A 20,408-nucleotide genomic window follows, 5' to 3' on the forward strand; every position below is an offset into this window, starting at 1 on the left:
AGCTCTAACTCAATGCTTTTCATCTACCAGAGGTGAGAAGGCACAGTGTTTTATTTTTAAAATGTAAAAAAAGATAATTTTAAAATTTATTATAAAATCTAGATGAATGGTATTTTTTTCAGACCTATAAAATAAAAGCCCCAATTTTAAAAATTAGATTTAACAGACATGAAATTAGTGTCTAATATTCCTGTAAGAGTTTCCAAATCTTTACACCCAATTCCTATGTTTATCTCATCATGGAGTAGGACTGGTAAGTTTGCAGACTTGCCCCAGTCTATGAGATGTAAGTATCGTTGCTTGTGAGAAAACTAGGCCTATTGTGCGACCTGAACCTATTGATGTAAAATTTTGTAATCTTAAATTGGCATCTTGAATTTTCAATCCAGGGCTTATGTGAGATGTCTTTAATAATTCAGAACCTTTCCTACCTAAAATTAGGATGCTCTGTTGATTGGAGGTAGAAGTCTGAGCTTCCCTTTGCAAGCTTTTACGCTAATTATCACATGACAGCAAGCCATTCACTTATCACCTCTATATGCTAGTTTTCTCATTTGCCAAATGTGTCTAAAAGGACCCTCTATTTTTCCCTGACATGGCTTTTATACCTAGAGAAATAAATGTGTAGGAAAGCACTTTAATAAGATAGTTGCGATAAATAAATGACTCCTAGGAATCCCACACCAAGGAATTCATTTACGTTCAGGTGGGTGAACAGGTGAGTGAAATGTATTTTCTAGCTCTAAACCTAAGCATCTTTTGAGCCACTTCTGAGTTTTGCAAAATGCAATGTCCATCCAAGCTACTAATTAGTTGAAAACTGAGCCACATTTGGTTACCTGGACATTCCTTTTCATTACTAATATACCTTGGTTGAGGTAAAATGCCAAATTATATGCCAGAAACCTGCAAGAATGACAGTAACTCTGGTGGCTAAATTAGTGCAAGAGAGAAGTTTAGCTGTGAAAGTAATCTCTATTATTTTGTGCTTCCTTATACTCAAATCATGTTTAAGTGTCTAATGGCAGAGGAGTCGTGGTACAAATATGTCTGTTCTCATTTCTTTGGGGTATTGTATACATTGACTTAACACCCCATTCCCAAGTTCCTCGTTTGTAAAATGGTGATAATAATAGTACCTGCTTCATAGGGTTGTTGTTAAGGGAACTAATTAGATAATTCAGTCAGGAACTTAAAAGTGTTTGGTGCACGGTAAAGGCTTAATACATGACAGGTATTATTAGTATGAATAATGTTTGTTTTAACAGAAGTACCTAATCAGAGGAAATTATGCTTCTTAACAAGTGGTACAATCGCTTGGTAAACAGATTGGTCTAACACTAGAAGGATGTTAAACCTGACCTTCTTATTGGACCCTCACCAGTCAAAGGACCTCAGAGTTTTTCGTCTTATTCTGCTTCTTAGTACAGGGAACATCATCTTTCAGATAGAAACAAAGCAGTCGTCTATTATTAAGGACTACAAACTTGTTGAGCTTTTGCTTTGCAGCCTCTATGGATCACGGATTATAATTAAGAACCAAGGTTTAATGCCTCCTTTTAATCATGCAAACATATATGACAGTAAATATTAAATAAGAAAAAAAATGATACTATAAAGGACTTCATGCCTTCCACAAACCTAGAAGGTAAACAAGTGTCTACTTGTTGGAAAAAACAATTGTAATTTCCCAAGAATATATCTGATGGAGAACCAAGTTTAGATGGCCATATCGGGGAGATTACTTCCAGTAAATAGATCTCATTTGCTATGAATCATGGACATTTAACAACATATGCAAAATGTTAAGACTTAGAATTGTATTTCCCAAGGTCTTAATTTAATTTAATTTAATTTAATTTAATTTAATTACTTCAGTCATGTAATAGTCTTTAGAAATAAAGGCAACAGACTTTGATTAATCTGGTGATCCAATCCTCCTCCTCCTCCTCCCAAAAGTCTGTCAGACATGAATCTGGGCCAGAATTTTCATCTGGGAACACCTTGAAACCTAAGTGGCTGAGTGTGAGCTTCATGTAATCCCTCCAATAAGGAAACTCTAACTTTTAAAGGGTCTCTTGACATGCGTGGTAATTACAGGAGTACAGTTCCTGGTACTGGTAGGTGGTGGCTGAAAAAGGAATATTTAGAGCAGGGGTCAGCTAGCTTTCTGGAAAGGGCCTATTGTGATCATTTTAGGCGTTATGAGACGGACAGTCTGTCACAACTGCTCAACTTTGCCATTGTAATGTGAAAGCAACTATAGACAATAGGTAAATGAATGAGAATGGCTGTGTTCCAAGAAAACTGTATTTACAAAAAGAGGCAGCAGGCTAGCTTTAATCCAAGGGCCATAGCTTGCTGACCCTTCATCTAGAGAAATGGTTGCTAATGTAACAGGGAGCTACTGGCCAAATTAAGCTAGAAGGTGTATTATTTTTTGATTCCACAGTGTCAATCTCCATGATGTTCATATTTTCTACTAGTTGCCAACATTTAAAAATCAGGAGATTTTTTACATACAAATATGCAATCTGATATCTGAAAAACATGCAAAGATCTGGTAACACCCATCTGTCTTCCTCCACAGCAACAATAGTTGTGCCCGCTTCAGAACAAGAACTTGCTTTCTTGTTCTCCACAATACTCACCATTCCCTGGTGCCTTCCAGAAATTCAGGCCCACTTCCTTCATTTACACTACCTGTCTTGCCCTGGCTCTGCTCCTGGAAGAACTTGATTTTGTGAACACTTTTTAGTAGATCTTATCTTTCTTCCTCTTTCACTCCTTGTTCCTGAAAGCTATCTCATTTTGGCTCACTGAGGCTGAGGACCAGGCATGCTTTTGCAAACTGATATATGGCTGTACAATAGTATTAGTGTCTCTGAGAGAGTAGCATAGCTGAGCTCTAGAAGTAGTGAACATTTTGTACCTTTTGTTCATTTCCTACAGCCATCCTAAAATGATATATCAGTTTTCAAGTCTGTTTCCCTCTCCCTTCTTTCTTTCATTCCCATCTAGTACACCAGAAAAAGTGTACATGTTTCTATTCTTATCCTTCAGCATTTTATATCTTTTAATCAGATGATTTGCAGTCTCTTTTTGTCCATCTAGAGTCATGTTGTTGTTTTATATATATATATATATATTTACATATGTATATATTTAATAAAAGTAGATTATTTATTGTGCATCAAAGATGATCAGGTCTGCACTGAATGTGAGATTTTAATTACATGATTCAATGTATTTAATTCAACTCATTCAATCCTACTATGTACCAGGCACTGTGTTGGGCATTGAAATGTAAAGTCAGAGTTCCTGTCTTGGAAGAGGGGTGCAAGTAAACAGAGACTTTGAAATGGAGAATCTTATCTACAGAATATTTTGAATTTACAAATAAGTCCATATATGAACTAAGGAGAATGGTGGAAGACACAACTCTTTACCAAAAACTTATTTTAAATGAGTGGTGAGTTGGTTTCAGTTCAGAAAACAAAGTATTGGGATAAATAGGAAATTCTGTGATTTGATAAATTGAGTCATGGATGTTTTATTTAACATCTGAAAAAGTACTCTGTGCTGAAGAATGAATAGTGAGACTTCAGTCTTTTAAAGACCTGTGCAGGGCTGTACAGTGTAGCTTGGTGCCAAGCAGACAAAAACTAATGAAGAGAAAACCTTGCAAGGATTTGTAAGGCAATAAATGAACTTCATCATGGGTAAATGTGAAGTAGCTGCTTGAAGGAAAAAGAATACAAATTATTATGAGATGATGTTCTTTGGGCTGTCAGTTATGCTGTATAAAAAGAGTCATTGAAGAATGTTCACTAATGACATTAGTCCATTATGAGTTAGAAATAAAGTACCACCAAAGTATTGGGAACCACCAAGAAATATATAGAAAACCAAACATTGGTTTTTTAATTTTTTTAATTTAAAGTATGCTCACTTATGTGTGGAATTCTGAATGCGCTTGTGGTCAATACATTTAAAGCAAGATTTGTGATACTGATTTATAACACGTACCTATGATAATCCAGACATGTAGCAGATGTTCCACAAAGAGCAGTTAAAGAGGTATATGTGGGCATGTACCCGATACATAGTGTGTGTGCATTAGAGAGCTGTTGAATAAGTGAATATGGGCAGAATGGGACTGAAAACAGTGTCTAGTGTCTTAAAATTAATAATAGTAATAATACTTGGCTCATTGGCTGTTCGGCGAAAAAGGAATATGATTGAAATATGTAAACAAACCTCTGATGCATATGGAACAGGAAATAGCCTTTGTCCTAGTCTATAGCACATGAATGGGAGGGAGAAGGGGAGCAGTTTCCAAGAAAGGAATGCAAACCTGAGAAATTGCTGTAGGACAGCTATCATTGTTTTGATACCAAATAATAAACATGGAACTCATTCTGTGATAATGTACATACTTATAATTCAAAGGCAGAAAGTTTTTGTTAAACAAAATAATGGGTCTGGCTGGGCGCAGTGACTCACACCTGTAATCCCAGCACTTTGGGAGGCCAAGGCGGGCGGATCACTAGGTCCGGAGATCGAGACCATCCTGGCTACCACGGTGAAACCTTGTCTCTACTGAAAATACAAAAAATTAGCCGGGCAAGGTGGTGGGCACCTGTAGTCCCAGCTACTCGGGAGGCTGAGGCAGGAGAATGGCGTGAACCTGGGAGGTGGAGCTTGCAGTGAGCCGAGACTGTGCCACTGCATTCCAGCCTGTGTGACAGAGCGAGACTCCGTCTTAAATAATAATAATAACAATAATAATAATAATGGGTCTATGAATGAATCTTAAAAATGCTTTACTCATTTGTTTTGCAGAATAGTTTGTAAGTGTACGTGTGTGTTGTTTGTGGGTGTTTTCCCAAGTCCTTTAAATCAGGCAAAGAATGTGTATATAAATTCTACTCTTATTTTCATCCACTGTCAAACTAACTTCTGTGAAATATTCTAGGAAACTTTGATCAGAATATTTGTTTTTGGAAGTTAAGTGACATCATTCATCCTTTTGAGCCAAATATAATCAGCATCCCTGTGCCAGGAAGGAAAAAAAATACCTTTACTCTTACATTGACTATTCCAAGAATTACTTTTCTGATAACTCCATACAGGGTTTCTCCGAACCTCTCTGTTCATTTGCATTCCTAACAATTTGGGATTTTATTTAGTGGTCAAGTTGTATTCACCCTGGAGCCTGGAATGAGGACATCCAGCCTGACAACCTGTTAAACAACTTGTGAATGGAATAATGAATGAAAAGGTCAGACAGTCCATTTAAGGAATAACATTTTTTCAGATTTCAAATGCCATTATATTGTGACAAAATCCATATGTGTTTCAGTAGAACAAGAATGGAAGCAAGGTTTTAACCTTTAGTTTTAATAAATATTTTTTATTAAAAAATTGAAACATTTTGATTCCTTAACCAGTGAACTGAAAACAATAATTGGAAAACAAAACAAACAACAATAACAACAACAGAATCACAAAAAAGTCCAGCCAGGGCACTTTCTAGTTTCACAGATTTGGATGAAGCAATTTAAACATACATCAGCCAAGGTACATTCAATCACTCTCTATTACTTACAGCAGTGGTTTTGAGTATTGTTTTAATGGTGTTTTATCTTGAGCTTCATGATGGTATTTTGCAAAGCAAGTTAAGCTTTAGGAGTCTAGCTTTTGATTTCACCATATTTTTTTTTTGCATTTGTGTGACATTATTCATGTTGAATTTGGTTCCATTCTTTTTCCAGCTCCTAATTACACCCTCAGACTCTGTAAAGATGCATTTGTTCCTAAGTGCAATCAAGAAGCATATTAGAAATCAGCTGTACATAGTTATGCTCTTATAAATGGAAAGTCTATTACATTTGTGTTAGAAACAGAATGTTCATACTGGAATTCAATTGCAGTTGATAGACACATATCAATTGCTTAGGACATGCTAAGTGCTGCACTAGATAGTGTGGGGAATATGGCCATAAATAAAATACCATCCTTGTCCCAGAAAGCTCAGGTTCCAAAGGCAATATCACATAGTGACTAATAGTTCAGGCTCTGCAATTAGGGCTTGTGTTCAAATCTTGTTTTGTTTCACTATTCACAAACCCTGTGACTTCTTTGAGATATAGTATTCTCCAGTAAATAGAAACCATAATAACCATGGAAACACATTTGTAATACTATATAATTCTGATTATATAAGTAGTACATGTTCATTATTAAAAATTCAATAATGAGAAAAAAATAAATAAAATGAGAGAAGGCTCACTGCGATTTCATCTCCAATACTGATGTAACCACCCTGAAGAATTTAGTTCTTACATTTCCAGAAAATTTTCTTATGTATATACTTACATTCTATTAATTTTTGGGTACATTTTGTCTGTACTATTTTGGAATCAGTTTTTTCATGAGCTTTTTTATTTTGAAATGATTTTAGACTGGTAAAATAATGCAGAGAGATCCTATTTACCCTTTGTCCAACTTCCTCTAATGTTAACATTTTATATATGACCTTACACCAATGCTGAGAAGTTAACAGTTGTACATTACTACTATTCAATAAATTTCATACTTTATTTGTATTCCATCAGCTCATCTACTAATGTCCTTTTTCAGATCCCGGATCCCACATTGTGTGTAGTGCTTGTTTAGTTTTATGTAACAAGGCATTTTGGATATCTTTTCATATCTGCACATGTAGCTCTGACATATTGCTTTTAAAAAGTGCAAAACTTGGGCCGAGCGTGGTGGCTCATGCCTGTAATCCCAGCACTTTGGGAGGTCGAGGCGGGTGGATCAGGAGGTCAGGAGTTCCAGACCAGCGTGACCTTTACCAAACCCCGTCTCTACTAAAAATACAAAAATTAGCCGGGCGTGGTGGTGCACACCTGTAATCCCAGCTACTCAGGAGGCTGAGTCAGGAGAATCGCTTGAACCCAGGAGGCAGAGGTTGCAGTGAGCTGAGGTCACACCACTGCACTCCAGCCTGGGCGACAGAGCAATACTCTGTCTCAAAAAAAAAAAAAAAAAAAGTGCACAATTTTAATCAATTAAGTCTGTATAGTTGTAGTAGTCCATTCTCATGCTGCTATAAAGAACTGCTGAAGACTGGGTAGTTATAAAGCAAAGAGGTTTAATTGACTCACAGTTCTGCAGGGCTGGGGAGGCCTCAGAAAACTTATAATCATGGCAGAAAGGGAAGCAGAAATGTCCTTCTTCACATGGTGGCAAGAAGAAGTGCCAAGCAAAAGGGGAAAAGCCCCTTATAAAACCATCAGTCCTCATGAGAACTCATTTACTATCACGAGAATGGCATGGAGATAACTGCCCCCATGATTCAATTACCTCCCACTGGGTCTTTCCCATGACACATGGGGATTATGGGAACTACAGTTCAAGGTGAGATTTCAGTGGGGACACCGCCAAACCATATCAATAGTATAATTTATGTAAACCTCTTTTGACTATTGATGTTTTTCATATGAATCCTAAAAGAAACTTATCTCCATGCATTGTATGATTTAATCTTCACTATGACCTGTGTCTCTTAGACGCCAAACTAAGGCTCTTTCATCTACCCTAGAGTGGTTCCCTGTATAACAGACACAAATGTGTTACTTTTGATATATTTTTTCTGTGACCATTGACCTCCTCCAATTTTAGTTGTGCTAATTTTCATTGTATAGAAGTTCTTACTTTGTGAATGATTAAATTTGTAGATCTTTTTATTTCTGATGACTTGTATTGTTTTAAAGCTAAGGAAATTATTTGAATATCCCAGTTTCAATGGCTAAAGCAAGTATTTGGAATCCTATACCTTATTTGCAATTTTCGAGTTTCCGAATAAAAATAGCAGTGATCCTCTTTTGATGAGTGAATTAGTTTTTGGATAATGGTTAAAAAAATGAGCCAACAGAAGATGGTTTTACCTCCTATGGATACAGCGCAGGATTATAAATTGAGATTCTGTTCTTGAAGCCTACTCATTTCATAAATTCATAAATTTACCAAAACTGATTATATTTTTTTGTTTGGTTATATTTATTTTTGTTTTTTTTCCCACCTGGCCTGGTTAATAGGGTATATGTCTGTTCACTAGCACTTCTATTTGGGTAGGGAAAATTCCCTAAGTCCCTCAACTTTACTACGGTCTTTTGGGGATCATTATAGGACAGATGCCATCAATTTTATAAAATACATTAAAACCCTAAGAGAAAAAAAACCTTCTCTCCATAAGCTGTAACTCTGTGTCTAACATCCATTGTGAAGTTCAGGCTAGGCAAAGAGTTAAAATCAATGCTATTTCCTACTTGGACAAACAAAATGAACAGGAGCCTGAGATAGCCACCTCTGAGTTCAGCTTGTTGTTATTCAGTTTCCATTCTAATACAGTTTCTTCCTTGCTCAATATCAGTTTATAAAAGCATGTTACATGTCCACTGACCCCAGATAACTAAATAAATCCCACTTTATAGTCATAGAACTAAGTCCCAGGTTGTATTTGTACAAATGCCTGCCAAAGATGGATACAAGGAATTCAGAATAAATCAACCATTAAATTCACATTTCTTAGTGGAATAAAAGTAGGAATGAGGAATCCAATTCACCATCACTCTCTCATACACACGTGCATGCACATACACATATACACACGTGTGCCCACACACACACACAGCATGGTACATTATTAGTTTTCTTTGTTGGATGCATGTTTTGGTTTTGGATTTCTTTGAAGGGCATTTATGCAGAGTTGGTTATAAGGTTTGGAGTCCTGGACCCCAGAGAACTGCATTTACTTCTGTCTTTGCATGTACCTTTGTAACATGTACCTGGTGATTTTATGCTGGTCAGATTTCCCATTTGAATGAGGTGACAGCATTCAGCAAGTTATAAGTCTCTGAGATGGACATTTCTGCAGGTCTTTTTCATACATTTCCCGTAGAAATCTTTTAAATCATGTTCACAATGAGGCTTAAAATTACTGCTTTCTTAAGGAAAAGGGATATAATCCAGGGGGTTTATAAGCAGCATTTGATGAAAGTCTTTGAAAAGAAAGTAAAAATCAGTTCATTTTAATGATTGGCAATCAAAAAAAGATAAACCATCATTAAATTCTAAGATCTGGTATACTGAGACTGAGAAAAAAATAAAAACACAAGCTACCTTATAAATGCACTGCTGATAATGTATTCTAGGTTCTTTCTTTTTCAGTAGATCATCCTGAACATATTAGCCTCAGGTTGCTGGAAATCAAAATAATGGCATGGTGATTGTTAAGAGTCCATGTTATATAAGGGTGTTCTGATATTGAAATTAATACTTCACTTCTTGTTTCTGAAAAGTGAATGTTGGTAGGTTGGTTTTTGAATGTGTTTTGAATATTTTAATAGAACTGGGTTCTATCTAGGAGGAAATAAAACTATCTCTGTGGCAGACACCACAGTTCTTCTTCTTGGTTGTAAACTTACTTCCTAGTAGCATCAGTTCAAGATGTATTCTCATGGAAATGAATTTTATTTTAATGTTCAGACATGCTGATTGTGGAAAGACAGTGTGAGAATTCAACCTAGAGCCTTGCTCTGGCAGTGAAATAGGATATAAAATATAAGAGGAGACTCATGGTGAGGTCACACGGGTCCTGAAATCTTCCGAGAAGTGAATCATAACTCATTCCAAGTGACAGGAAACAGGTCCGAGGGGATGGAAAAGGGATATGAATCAGACCTGAGTTAAAGTTAACCTTTACAATACCTGTCAAAAATTACTAAGCAAAACAGTTATATGAATATCAATACATGAAATGCTTTCTCCTTATTTGAGTGAACCAGCTGCTCTCAGACTCTTGAACAGTAACCATATCTAGAGATGTAAATTAGAATGTCAATTACAAATCATTCTTATATTTTCATCACATTAGACCGTGGATAAATTGTGTAAATTATTTGAAAGTAATTAAATTTCTAATCTAAAAATTTAGATTCAGAGTTGGCATTTTTTTTTCCTTCCCCCCCCACCCCCCCCCCGGTAAAGCACCAGATAGTAAATATTTTAGGATTTGTGGCCCATACAGTTTCTGGTCTCTAACACAGGTTCTCAACTCTGTCATTTTAGTTCAAAAGGAGAAACAGACAAAGTGCGAATGAATGATTGTAGCTGTGCTAAAATAACTTTATTTGAGGACATTGAAATTCAGATTTCATATAATTTTCATGTGTCACAAAATACTACTCTTTAGATTTTTTTTAACTATTCAAAAACATAAAACTACTCTTTGTCTGTGGGATTATACAAAAACAGGCCTTGGGCCAGATTTAAACAGCGGGCTGCAGTTTGCTGAGCTCAGTTTTAGATAATTCACAGTAACCACTGATTTGTGCTGCTTTGGACAGTGGTGTAAAGATTTACCTATAGTACATTTTCTAAATAATATCTAAGAAAAAAAGTCATGATTTTTTTAAAGGACAGAATGTTTTCTCCCACAAAATAATTGGTCGCTGACAATTTTTTTCTTGCTGCTAACCTGATTTGTCAGAGAAGTGAGCACTACATCTTTGTGTTATGCCCTCTCCCCAAATTCCAATACTAGAAATATATTTATTTGGTTTTATGTTAAAATGCAGATGCCATCTTTTCGTATGAACTGCCATTAAAGATAGAGGAGAAAGAATGTATATTCTGGGAATCTAGGGGCATGGCCTCAAGTTACTAATTTGATAAATTGTTTCTGAAGTCTAGTGCTTTATCTTAAAATATTATGTCAGTTCTGCATTCTATACCACTAGATAGGTATGTTTATTTCAGGGTACACAAACTGTTTTAAGTCATTGAACAAATATGCAGTTCCTCTGTGACCTGCCATACTGCCAGCATAACCCTGAGGTCTGGGCATACCTTAGGTTAAGAAACACAGCAGCGAGGCAAACTGATTGTTTATCAGTCCCAGTTTGATGGCTTCAGAGCAGACTTTAAATGGTAAAGGAGGAATTACACGTGAGCATCCCAGTTGTCTTGTATAGTGACGTGAATGGCCCCTATTCCCTTGATCCATGGCTGCTACTTGCAGACCTAACTCCAGCCCAAGGTGGGAGAACGGCATGATCACCGTCTTTGAAGACAGATAGACAACGGTTTTAATTTTTACTGTTCCATGTGTAGTTAGACTAGTTATTGAGTTGAATTTTGTCATCTGAAAAATGAAGGTAGGATTTATGGTTCTTTAGTTACAATCCAATGACTTTTGCTAATATAATTCAGAAGGGATATATCAGAAAACTGTTGGAGGATGTAACAAGGGAAAATTAAAATATCTGGTTGGAGGAAGACAAAGGAGAGAAATAAGAGGCAATTAGCTTTCCAGGGCATTTTATTGAGCAACTATGAGATGCTGTGGTTAAGAAGCCATTCAATTTGCCTGGGAGAGTTCTGGTTTATACCTGTTGTACTTGCATAATTACTCAAAGCTCCCCTTTCACCCTCAAAAATGTCTCTGTTCACATGACACATTGTCATCTTAGAGGACTCAGAAGTTTGATCTCACTTCCGACTGTGAGTTGGTCTTGCTCTTTTTTCCTGACACTGCAGGATCTGGTTTTGTTGCCTGTGTTCAGAGCCAACCCGTATACTCCAGTATCAATTCTAGATTATTCCAGAGCCACCTGGTGGGGGTATCCACCGTCCATGGGAAGTGAGGAGAGAGGTGGGCAAACAGACAGCCATGATATTGAACCTCAGGTCCTCACACTATTTTTTGTCTGGGAATGGAATTAGATGGTGATATGGTGTGGATTTGTGTCCCCACCCAAATCTCATGTTGAATTATAATCCTCAGTGTTAGAGGCAGGGCCTGGTAGGAGGTGATTGGATCATGGGGGTGGATTTCACCCTTGCTGTTCTTGTGATATTGAGTGTATTCTCACGAGATCTGGTTGTTTAAAAGTGTGTAGCACCTTCCCACTTTCTCTCTTCCTCCTGCTCCTGACATGTAAGACATGCTTGCTTCCCTTTGCCTTCCGTCATGACTATAAGTTTCCTGAGGACTCCCCAGCCATGCTTCCTGTACAACCTGCAGAGCCATCAGCCAATTCAACCTCTTTTCTGTATAAATTACCCAGTTTCTGGCATTTCTTAATAGCAGCATGAGAATGGACTCATACAGATGGGACAGTCCATAGTATTTTGAAATTTGTCACTATCCCTTATACACATTCATGCTACTTCAGTCTAATATCCATACTGTTACTCGAAATGGCTTTCTGAAACACAATTCTCTCTAAAACCCTTTTTGACTCCTCATTTACATCAAGGAAAAATAAAACTTCTCAACTTGACATACAGAGCCTTTGATGGCCTAGCTTCTGTCTTTTCTTTGTCCTCCCTTAGTTGCCCACAGCTTCCCTATCTTGTAGATTCCTCTAATATTCAGTGGCCTGCAGTCCTTATGGCGCCATACTCTTGCCCTTCTGTGACTGGGCACATGCTGTTTCCTCTGGCTGGAATGCTTTGCCCTACCAGCCTTGTGCTGGTTTTTCCTTTCAGAATCAGAGTGGAAGTTGGTTTTCTTTTCTTACTAGTTCTTTTTTTAATCTTCTGTTTGAGTTATCCTTCATACCACTCCCATAATTCCCTTGGCGGACTTCAGTTCTAAAATGTGGGACCCCGAATTTCATTTGATAGTTTCCTTGTCTTTCTCTCTCAGTAGGTTATTGGCTTCTTGGAGGCAGAGACCATAATTTTCACCTCTGTAAACAGTGGAATGGTACATAGCAGCTGAAAGAAGGTTGGATAAGTGGATAAGTGGTCTTCATGAGAAAGGAGTGTTACTTCTGGGAGGAAAAACATAAATATGCAGGCAGTGGTGATAGGGATTTTAATAAGACACAGAGCACGGTACAGAATGCATGCTAATTTTATGTGGGGCTAAATTAGTGTGAATCTGTGTGGCCCAGTGACCGGGCCCATTTCAGCTTGGTAAGAAGGAGAAAGAATTGTCTGTGGCCTCCAGAGAGGCTTTGTAATTTATTTTCATCAATACACATGTTTCATTTTCTAAGTGCAAATGTTGCCACGGTGATCAGCGTCTCTGGTTTCTCTGGGAACCCTCTCTAAATACAACCCAGGGTACCCAGAGAACATGGAGAATAGAAGTTGGTGATCTTTGAATAATTGTGGAAGGCATGTGTAGTCCTGGAAGACTCAATAACACTTCCTGAATTTATAAAATGGGAAGATGGACTTCCCAGCCAATGGGCTTGGAAGATGGACACTCACTAGCAGAATTCTACAAAGGATTAATAAGTGGACTTTTTTGAGTCCTTAGTGAATCCATTTGGGTTCCTAATTATTATCTTATGGGAATCACTTGGACTAAGGAGGTCTGTTTGTAGCCTAATTTTTCCTTAGAAAGGACATCTAATTTACTGTCTGTTTGCATATCTGTCCTCTCCACTAGCTAAATAATTTTATACACATTTGTGTTCTTGGTTTCCAACACAGAACATGGCATGCTGTAATCACAGAGTAGCTGCTGAAAGAATAGGCTGATGAACTTGTAAAGGACATTTGGGTGGTTTTGAAACACTGAAAAAGTCAAATGAGTCAAAGTATAACATGGCTATTTAAAAAGTTATATGATCTGAGAGAGTGTTCAAAGAAGTGGTTTCTACACTATAATTTTCACCTTTGTAAACAGTGGAATGGTACGTACGTAGCAGCTGAATGAAGGTTGGATAAGTGGATAAGTGGTCTGCGTGAGAAAGGAGTGTTACTTCTGGGAGGAGAAACACAGTAGGGAGTCTTAGACCTATTCTATTTTGCCCTGATAGGACTAGAACAGGAGGGTTGTATTAAATTAATCAAACTCCGTAATAAAGGAGGCATTGGAAAGTGGGAAATTATTGAGAGAAAAATGTCTGGGAGAGTCTTAAACATAAGGAGTGTATTTTGGAAAACTAGGACAGTAATAAACAATAATTTTTACAGAGAGTTGAACTGAAAGTGCCTGCAATGATACTAACTGAAAAGAAAAGGCAAAGTCACTGGACAGGAAGCACACAGTCCACCCCAGGAAAGCTGTGATGGCTGTGGACTAAAGAACAGACAAATATGAATGGGAAACAGATTCCAAATACATTCATGAAAAGAGTAACAGTGGCTGTCCCTGATGACAGGTGATGTTTTTAATGACTTTTTATAATAACCTAGTATTAGATGCATGGTGGGGGGGACTATACATAGATTTTTTTTTCTCTTAATTCAAAAAAAATAGAACAGAGGATTCTTGTGTGGAGAAGACTTAGGGGGCAGAAGAGGAGTTAGGAGTGCTATTTTCAAATATTTATTGGGTCATGATGTGGAAAAGAGATTAGAATTATTCTGCATGATTTAGTTAGAACTGCTTACAGAAAAGCTAGACGAAGGGACAGTTTAGCTCATATTAAGTATGTCTTATGTCTCTGTGGTGTTAAAAGATAATTTCTAATAAAAGGCAAATTTATGACTCATAGAATAAAAGTAAGTATGTGTTAAAAATCTTACTTAACTCATTAATGAGGAAACTGGTGAGGTATTACAACCAGTTCCAAGGCAAATGCAAAGAATAAACAAATTCAGATTTGCAAAATAGTTCCCAAGGAGTCAGAATCAGATATGGCGTAATTTTCCATTGAATTCCCAAATTTCCCCTAGAGTGTCTCTTTTTGACCAAAAATATTATCAAAGAAATATTGTTCTCAATCTGCAGCATGAACTGTGGTGGCTCCTGGTTCTACGTGATGTTTGGCACCAGGAATGACCCAGAAGTAGCCAAATGATGACCTGTTGGGGATACTGTAGAAAAAGTTTACTCATAGGATAGTTGGTTTGCCAGGATGACTTTAAAGATAGTTAATAACCTCAAAATTCTAAGATATTACCTCACCACTCAGGGAGCCAGCTCCTGAACCTGTATCACTACAGCTGGGTCCTTTTACAAATTCAAGTTCCTATTAATACAAACAACTGTCCTTCCCCAGCTTATGAGGGTTTCCTGTGTTTCTCACTGTGCCTTGAGAATCTACCTGCCCTTTGGATTCTAGTTCTCTCCTTATTTGTCTGACATTCACCAACTAAACTCTCTTCTGTCTCTTAAAGCGCTTTCGACTTGGAAAAAGAAACAACTGTAGAAGATAAGATTATGTGGGCTATTTTAGGTTGAATCTTTACCTCCCCCAACCACCAAAAAAAGAAAAGGAAGAAAGAGAGAAATATTGAAGTATTAACCCCCAGTACCTCATACTATGACCTCATTTGGAAATAGGGTCATTGGAGATGTAATTAAGATGAGGTCATACTGGAGTAGGTTGGGCCCTTAAAGCAGTATGGCTGGTGTCCTTATAAAAAGATGGCCATTCTGGCCAGGCACGGTTGGCTCACGCCTATAATCACAGCACTTTGGGAGGCTGAGGTGGGCAGATTACCTGAGGTCAGGAGTTCGAGACCAGCCTGGCCAACATGCTGAAACCCCATCTCTACTAAAAAATACAAAAATTAGCCGGGCATGGTGGCAGATGCCTGTAATCCCGGCTACTTGGGAGGCTGAGGCAGGGGAATAGCTTGAGCCCGGGAGACGGAGGTTTCAGTGAGCCGAGATTATGCCACTGCACTCCAGCCTGGGCGGCAGAGCAAGACTCTGTCTCAAAAAAAAAAAAAAAAAAAAAAAAAAAAGGTGGCCATTTGAAGACAGAGACACATAGGGAGAAGGCTGTGTGATAATGAAAATAGAGATTAGAGTGACACAGCTGCAAGTCAAGGAATACCAAACATTGCTGGGCAAACCACCAGAGGCACAGAAGAGGCAAGAAAGGACTCTCCTATAGGTTTCGGAGAGAACATAGTTCTGATGATAGCTTGATTGTGGACTTCTTCCCTCTAGAACTGTAAGACAATACATTTCTGTTGTTTTAAGCCACCTAGTGCGTGGTACTTTGTTACGACAGCCCCAGGAAACTAATGTAGGGATATAGACAAATTTCTCTTCTATGGGCTGGCTCTGTGCATTGTTCTAAATGTGAAGAGCCGGGTGTAATGTGTTATACACATATAATGCCTGGCAAATACAAGGCACTAATTAAGTATTAGTCTTCTTCACTGTCTTTTTTTTTTTTTTTTTTTATCTTAGAACCTGTAAATTATAAACCAAGTGACTGCATTACCACATAATGAGAGGAACGTGACTTGGAATTAAATCTGAGTTTAAATCCAAGCTCTGCCACTAGCTAGCTAGCTATATGACTTAGTATGACTTAGGACAGTTTTTTTTTTGTTTATTTGTTTTCTGGATAAAACCATTTTTCTGGTCAGGGTAAAGATGAAAAACAATGGCTGTGATCATGTGGTACAGGGTAAGCACCCGATACTTAGTAACTACTGTAATTTTATTCTTCTTGCATGATGATTCTTATTATATTAGTGCTTCATGACTTGCATTGCTGCTAGGGAGTTTGTAATTGTTATATTTGCTCAAACAATTGAATTTATAATCGTTGCATTCATAAGGAGAAAGATGACTGCTTTTAAAATTCTCTTTATATCCTGGACATTTTAAGACTTGAAAAATTAGTGCTTTCCACTTTTATTTTTGAACTGCTACTAAATTTAAAGGACTATTAATCCCCCATGTTTATGACTCACCAATTCATCATCAACACGATGCCTTTTAAAGCAATATGTGACTCAGGAGAAGCATGAACGAAGCGCCTGAAAGAATTTGAGGGTGGGGAGATGGTTGTGTTGAGGATGAAGGAGGAGCATTTGCATTTATTTTTCCTTTGAAGTAGAGCCCGAAAAGTTTTGCTGAAGAAAAGATATCTGAGCATGTGCTTGAGTTTGATTCATTAATTTTCAGTATATCTTAAACTTAGTTTTTCAAACTCTTTTTATTTTACTATCATATGAGCTCACAGCAGGAATGCCAAACCACAGTGCCATTGTGTGAGGCACAAGGGTGTTGAGGACAGTATGAAAATTCCCTTTTGAGTCTGATTTTCTGAAATACCAGAGGCCACAGTTCTGAGTGGCTAGTGCAAGGGAAAGAAATGTACCCATGCCTGGGTTAGAAAGGCAAGAAGCTAGTTCCTTCCTAGCTCCAGAATTCTCAAAGAGAATAGGCTTGAAGAAGTCTATATTCCTCCTTTCTTAAGACCTACACTAAACACTAAACTCTTTGACTATGCTCATGGGAATATCACGTAGAATTCCCTATTGCAGAAGATGAGTAGTCTTCTACATACTGTACTGCTGATGGTAAGCCGACTTCTCAGATAGCCCCCAAGATTTCTGTCCCCTGTTCTACACACCCTGCATAATGCCTTCCATTGGTGTTGGCAGGACTCATGAATATGATGGGATAGTCACTGACTTGTTTATGTTACATTATATTAAACTCCATCTTAACTGACAGAGAGAAACTCTCCTCCTGGCCTTAAAGGAGCCAACTGGTATGTGTGGAGAAGGTCACAGGGGAAGGAACAGTGGGAAGCCTCTAAATACTGAGCATGGGACTTGATGGACTGCCAGCAAGAAAGTGGGAAGCTTCGTCCTATAACTGCAAGGAACTGAATTCTGCCAACAACCAGTGAGCTTGGAAGGGGCCTCAGATGAGATCAGACCATGGCTGACACCTTAATTTCAGCCTCATGAAACCCTGTTCCCAAAGCCCACCTACTCTATGCTGAACTCCTAACCATGGAAACTGTGAGATAATAAACGTGGGTTGCTATAAGTCCCTATATTTCTATTTATTTGTTATGCAACAATAAAAAATGAATACAATTCCAATTTCCAGGAGCAGGGTATCAAGTCTCTTAGTTAATAAACAACAAACAAACAACAACCAAAAAAACCACTCTGTGCACAACCACACCCCAAGTTGTTTTTGTTCAAGTAACTCACAAAAGACTTCTCCGCCTCCCATTATCACAGACTTTCACAAAACCAGTGGGAGCCCCTTTATAGCTGGACATGGCCATGGCCTACATGACTTTCTAGATGAGCCTAGCTGAGCTATTACTGATTTCGTGGAGCAATTACTTTGTGTAATCACCTGTGACTGACTGAAAGCCTATTGTTTCACACTTCTTTTATGTGTCCTTATAATGATTTTCTTAAGGCCAATTGCAATCTCCTATGTATTTCCCTACCAAAGAATACCTTGATCTTGAATGTTCCTTTATTTCCATGCTGCCCCCACCTTTCTCCCAAATGTACATTCTAAAGGGCCCTTTCAGCATATTGCTTATTTAGAGTGAATACATGAAGATGCCTTTTATATGCTTAGGGGAAGAAGAAAAGATCATCCAGTAAAAATTTCATATTGTTTTTCCACCCAAGTGTATCTTGCTCAGATAAACGGGCATCACAAAGGCCACCCTGGCATTCCTGCCAGCATTTCAGCATTCCATGCCCCATCTCTCTCTTAAATTGGAAAACATTTTTACCGATTTCTTAATATGTTTGAATTCATGTTTTTCACAACATCCCTGATATATTTGGGGGTGCTGGATTTGAATATGTAACCCTTTTCTTGCTAAATAGTCGGGTTTTTATTAATTGGCTTCTGACTTATGGAGCTATATTTACAGCTCTGTGAGGTAGATAAATTCACAGCATAAAATAATATCCTCCCAATCATTCAAGGCAGTCAGTTTGCACTCACACATAACCCAGATGCACTTAAAATAAAGGTGTCTATCAAGCAGTAAGTAACGTGATTTCTCAATTGCCCTGTTCGTAGATTGAGACAAGTCTATGTGGGGCAATTTTTCAAGAGCGTTAGGAAGGGCTGTCTCCATAATATTTCCCTACTCTGTCCCTTTATTGATGGCCAATATTCCATATTTATGTAATGATTCCTCTGGCCCCTATAAAAATGGAAGTAAGCCGAGAAAGGAGTTACCTGGTATTTCTCAAACTGTTATATAAACCAAGCCACCATATTTTATAATTCTGAAGGCGTACAGCTCTCATGTTATTCTATGTGAATGGTGCCCCCTGGTGATGTGCTGTATCTATGCTGCAGTGAACTTAGTGGATGTATGCTCAAGATTCTGCTTTGTTTGTACATTATTCAAGTTTTTAAAAATGTTCATATTTTCATGGGAATGAGTTTATCAGTTCCTCTCTTGAAAGCATGTTTGATTAGAAAGAGTGCAGACTTGTTTGTGTGGTTGCTTTATAGTGTCATTGGCCTGAATTTTTTTTTTTTAAAGGAGCTATAGCTAATTAAAACAAAATTAGCATGGCCAGGTATGGTGGTTCATGCCTGTAATCCCAGCACTTTGGGAGGCTGAGGTGGAAGGATCATCTGAGGTCAGGAGTTCGAGACCAGCCTGGCCAACACAGCAAAACCCTGTCTGTTAAAAATACAAAAATCAGGCAGGCGTGGTGGTGAGTACATGTAATCCCAGCTACTGGGGAGACTGAGGCAGGAGAATTGCTTGAACCTGCGAGGCAGAGGCTGCAGTGAGCCGAGATCATGCCACTACACTCCAGCCTGGGTGACAACGTGAGACTCCATCTCAAAAGAATAAAAAATAAGATTAGCAAAATGTTGATATTGAAACTGCAAGATGGCTACATGGGGATTCACTATGCTTTTCTTTTTACTTTTGTGTATGTTTGAAACGTTCTACAAAAAAAAAAAAAAAGGTTAAAACATAAAAGGAATTCAGCTTTAGATTGTTAAAAGCACACAAATCCTTGCCATGTAAGTCTTAAATACTTATTATACAAAAAATCCAAATGCAAAAAATGTTTATGTAGTAGAAGAATGGAATATGATTAAACCTTTTCCAAAATAGAAGCGTGTGCTTACAAATCATAGCATTTAGCCATATTATGCAGCCCAGAAGAATAAATAAGTAGATACTTTTTAATATATAAAAAAGAAAGCGTGCAGAGATCAAAAAGACAGAAGCTATGTGAGAATGGGATCCGCAAAAATGCAGAATAAAAGTTTACTCTTTTTGTTTTGTTCTCAAAACTCTTCCTCCTGCTACTTCTTTTAACAGCTCCCTGCCATGATCCACCATCCATTTATTCATTCATTCATTTACCCATCCATCTATTATCCATCCATTCATTCATTCATCCATCCACCCATCCGCCTACCCATCTATCTGTCCATCCATTTCTTCATCCATATATTCATCGACCCAACAAACATCAGTTGAGTGCCTGTCATTTGCCAAGCATTAATGGATGATCCAGTACCCAATTTGAATTTCTTTACATAATACCTCAATGATCCAGAGAGAAAGAGGACATTGAAAAATTATCTGTCGTTCAGAGATTGGAGAGTAGTGTGCAGCGGAATACATTCAAACTTTTGAAGACAGCTTTTTGCA

The 20,408-nt window shown here is 37.8% G+C and overlaps 1 protein-coding gene across 14 annotated transcripts in view, besides 1 other annotated feature; it reads left to right on the plus strand.

Moving 5' to 3' along the window:
• The window catches only part of CTNNA2 (catenin alpha 2), a 1,463,404-nt gene that overhangs the window by 1,294,862 nt on the left and 148,134 nt on the right, over nucleotides 1-20,408 (plus strand). The window lies entirely within an intron of this gene.
• Nucleotides 2,532-2,732: a silencer, noted in NCBI's record as "fragment chr2:80709895-80710095 (GRCh37/hg19 assembly coordinates)". NCBI's record gives its function as "represses an EF-1alpha promoter that drives an FKBP-Casp9 reporter gene in an ReSE screen in phorbol 12-myristate 13-acetate-treated (for megakaryocytic differentiation) K562 erythroleukemia cells {active_cell/tissue: K562(+PMA)}" and the evidence as "EXISTENCE:reporter gene assay evidence [ECO:0000049][PMID:32094911]".

Source organism: Homo sapiens, chromosome 2 (assembly GCF_000001405.40).
Source record: "Homo sapiens chromosome 2, GRCh38.p14 Primary Assembly".
NCBI classification, from domain to species: Eukaryota; Metazoa; Chordata; class Mammalia; order Primates; family Hominidae; genus Homo; species Homo sapiens.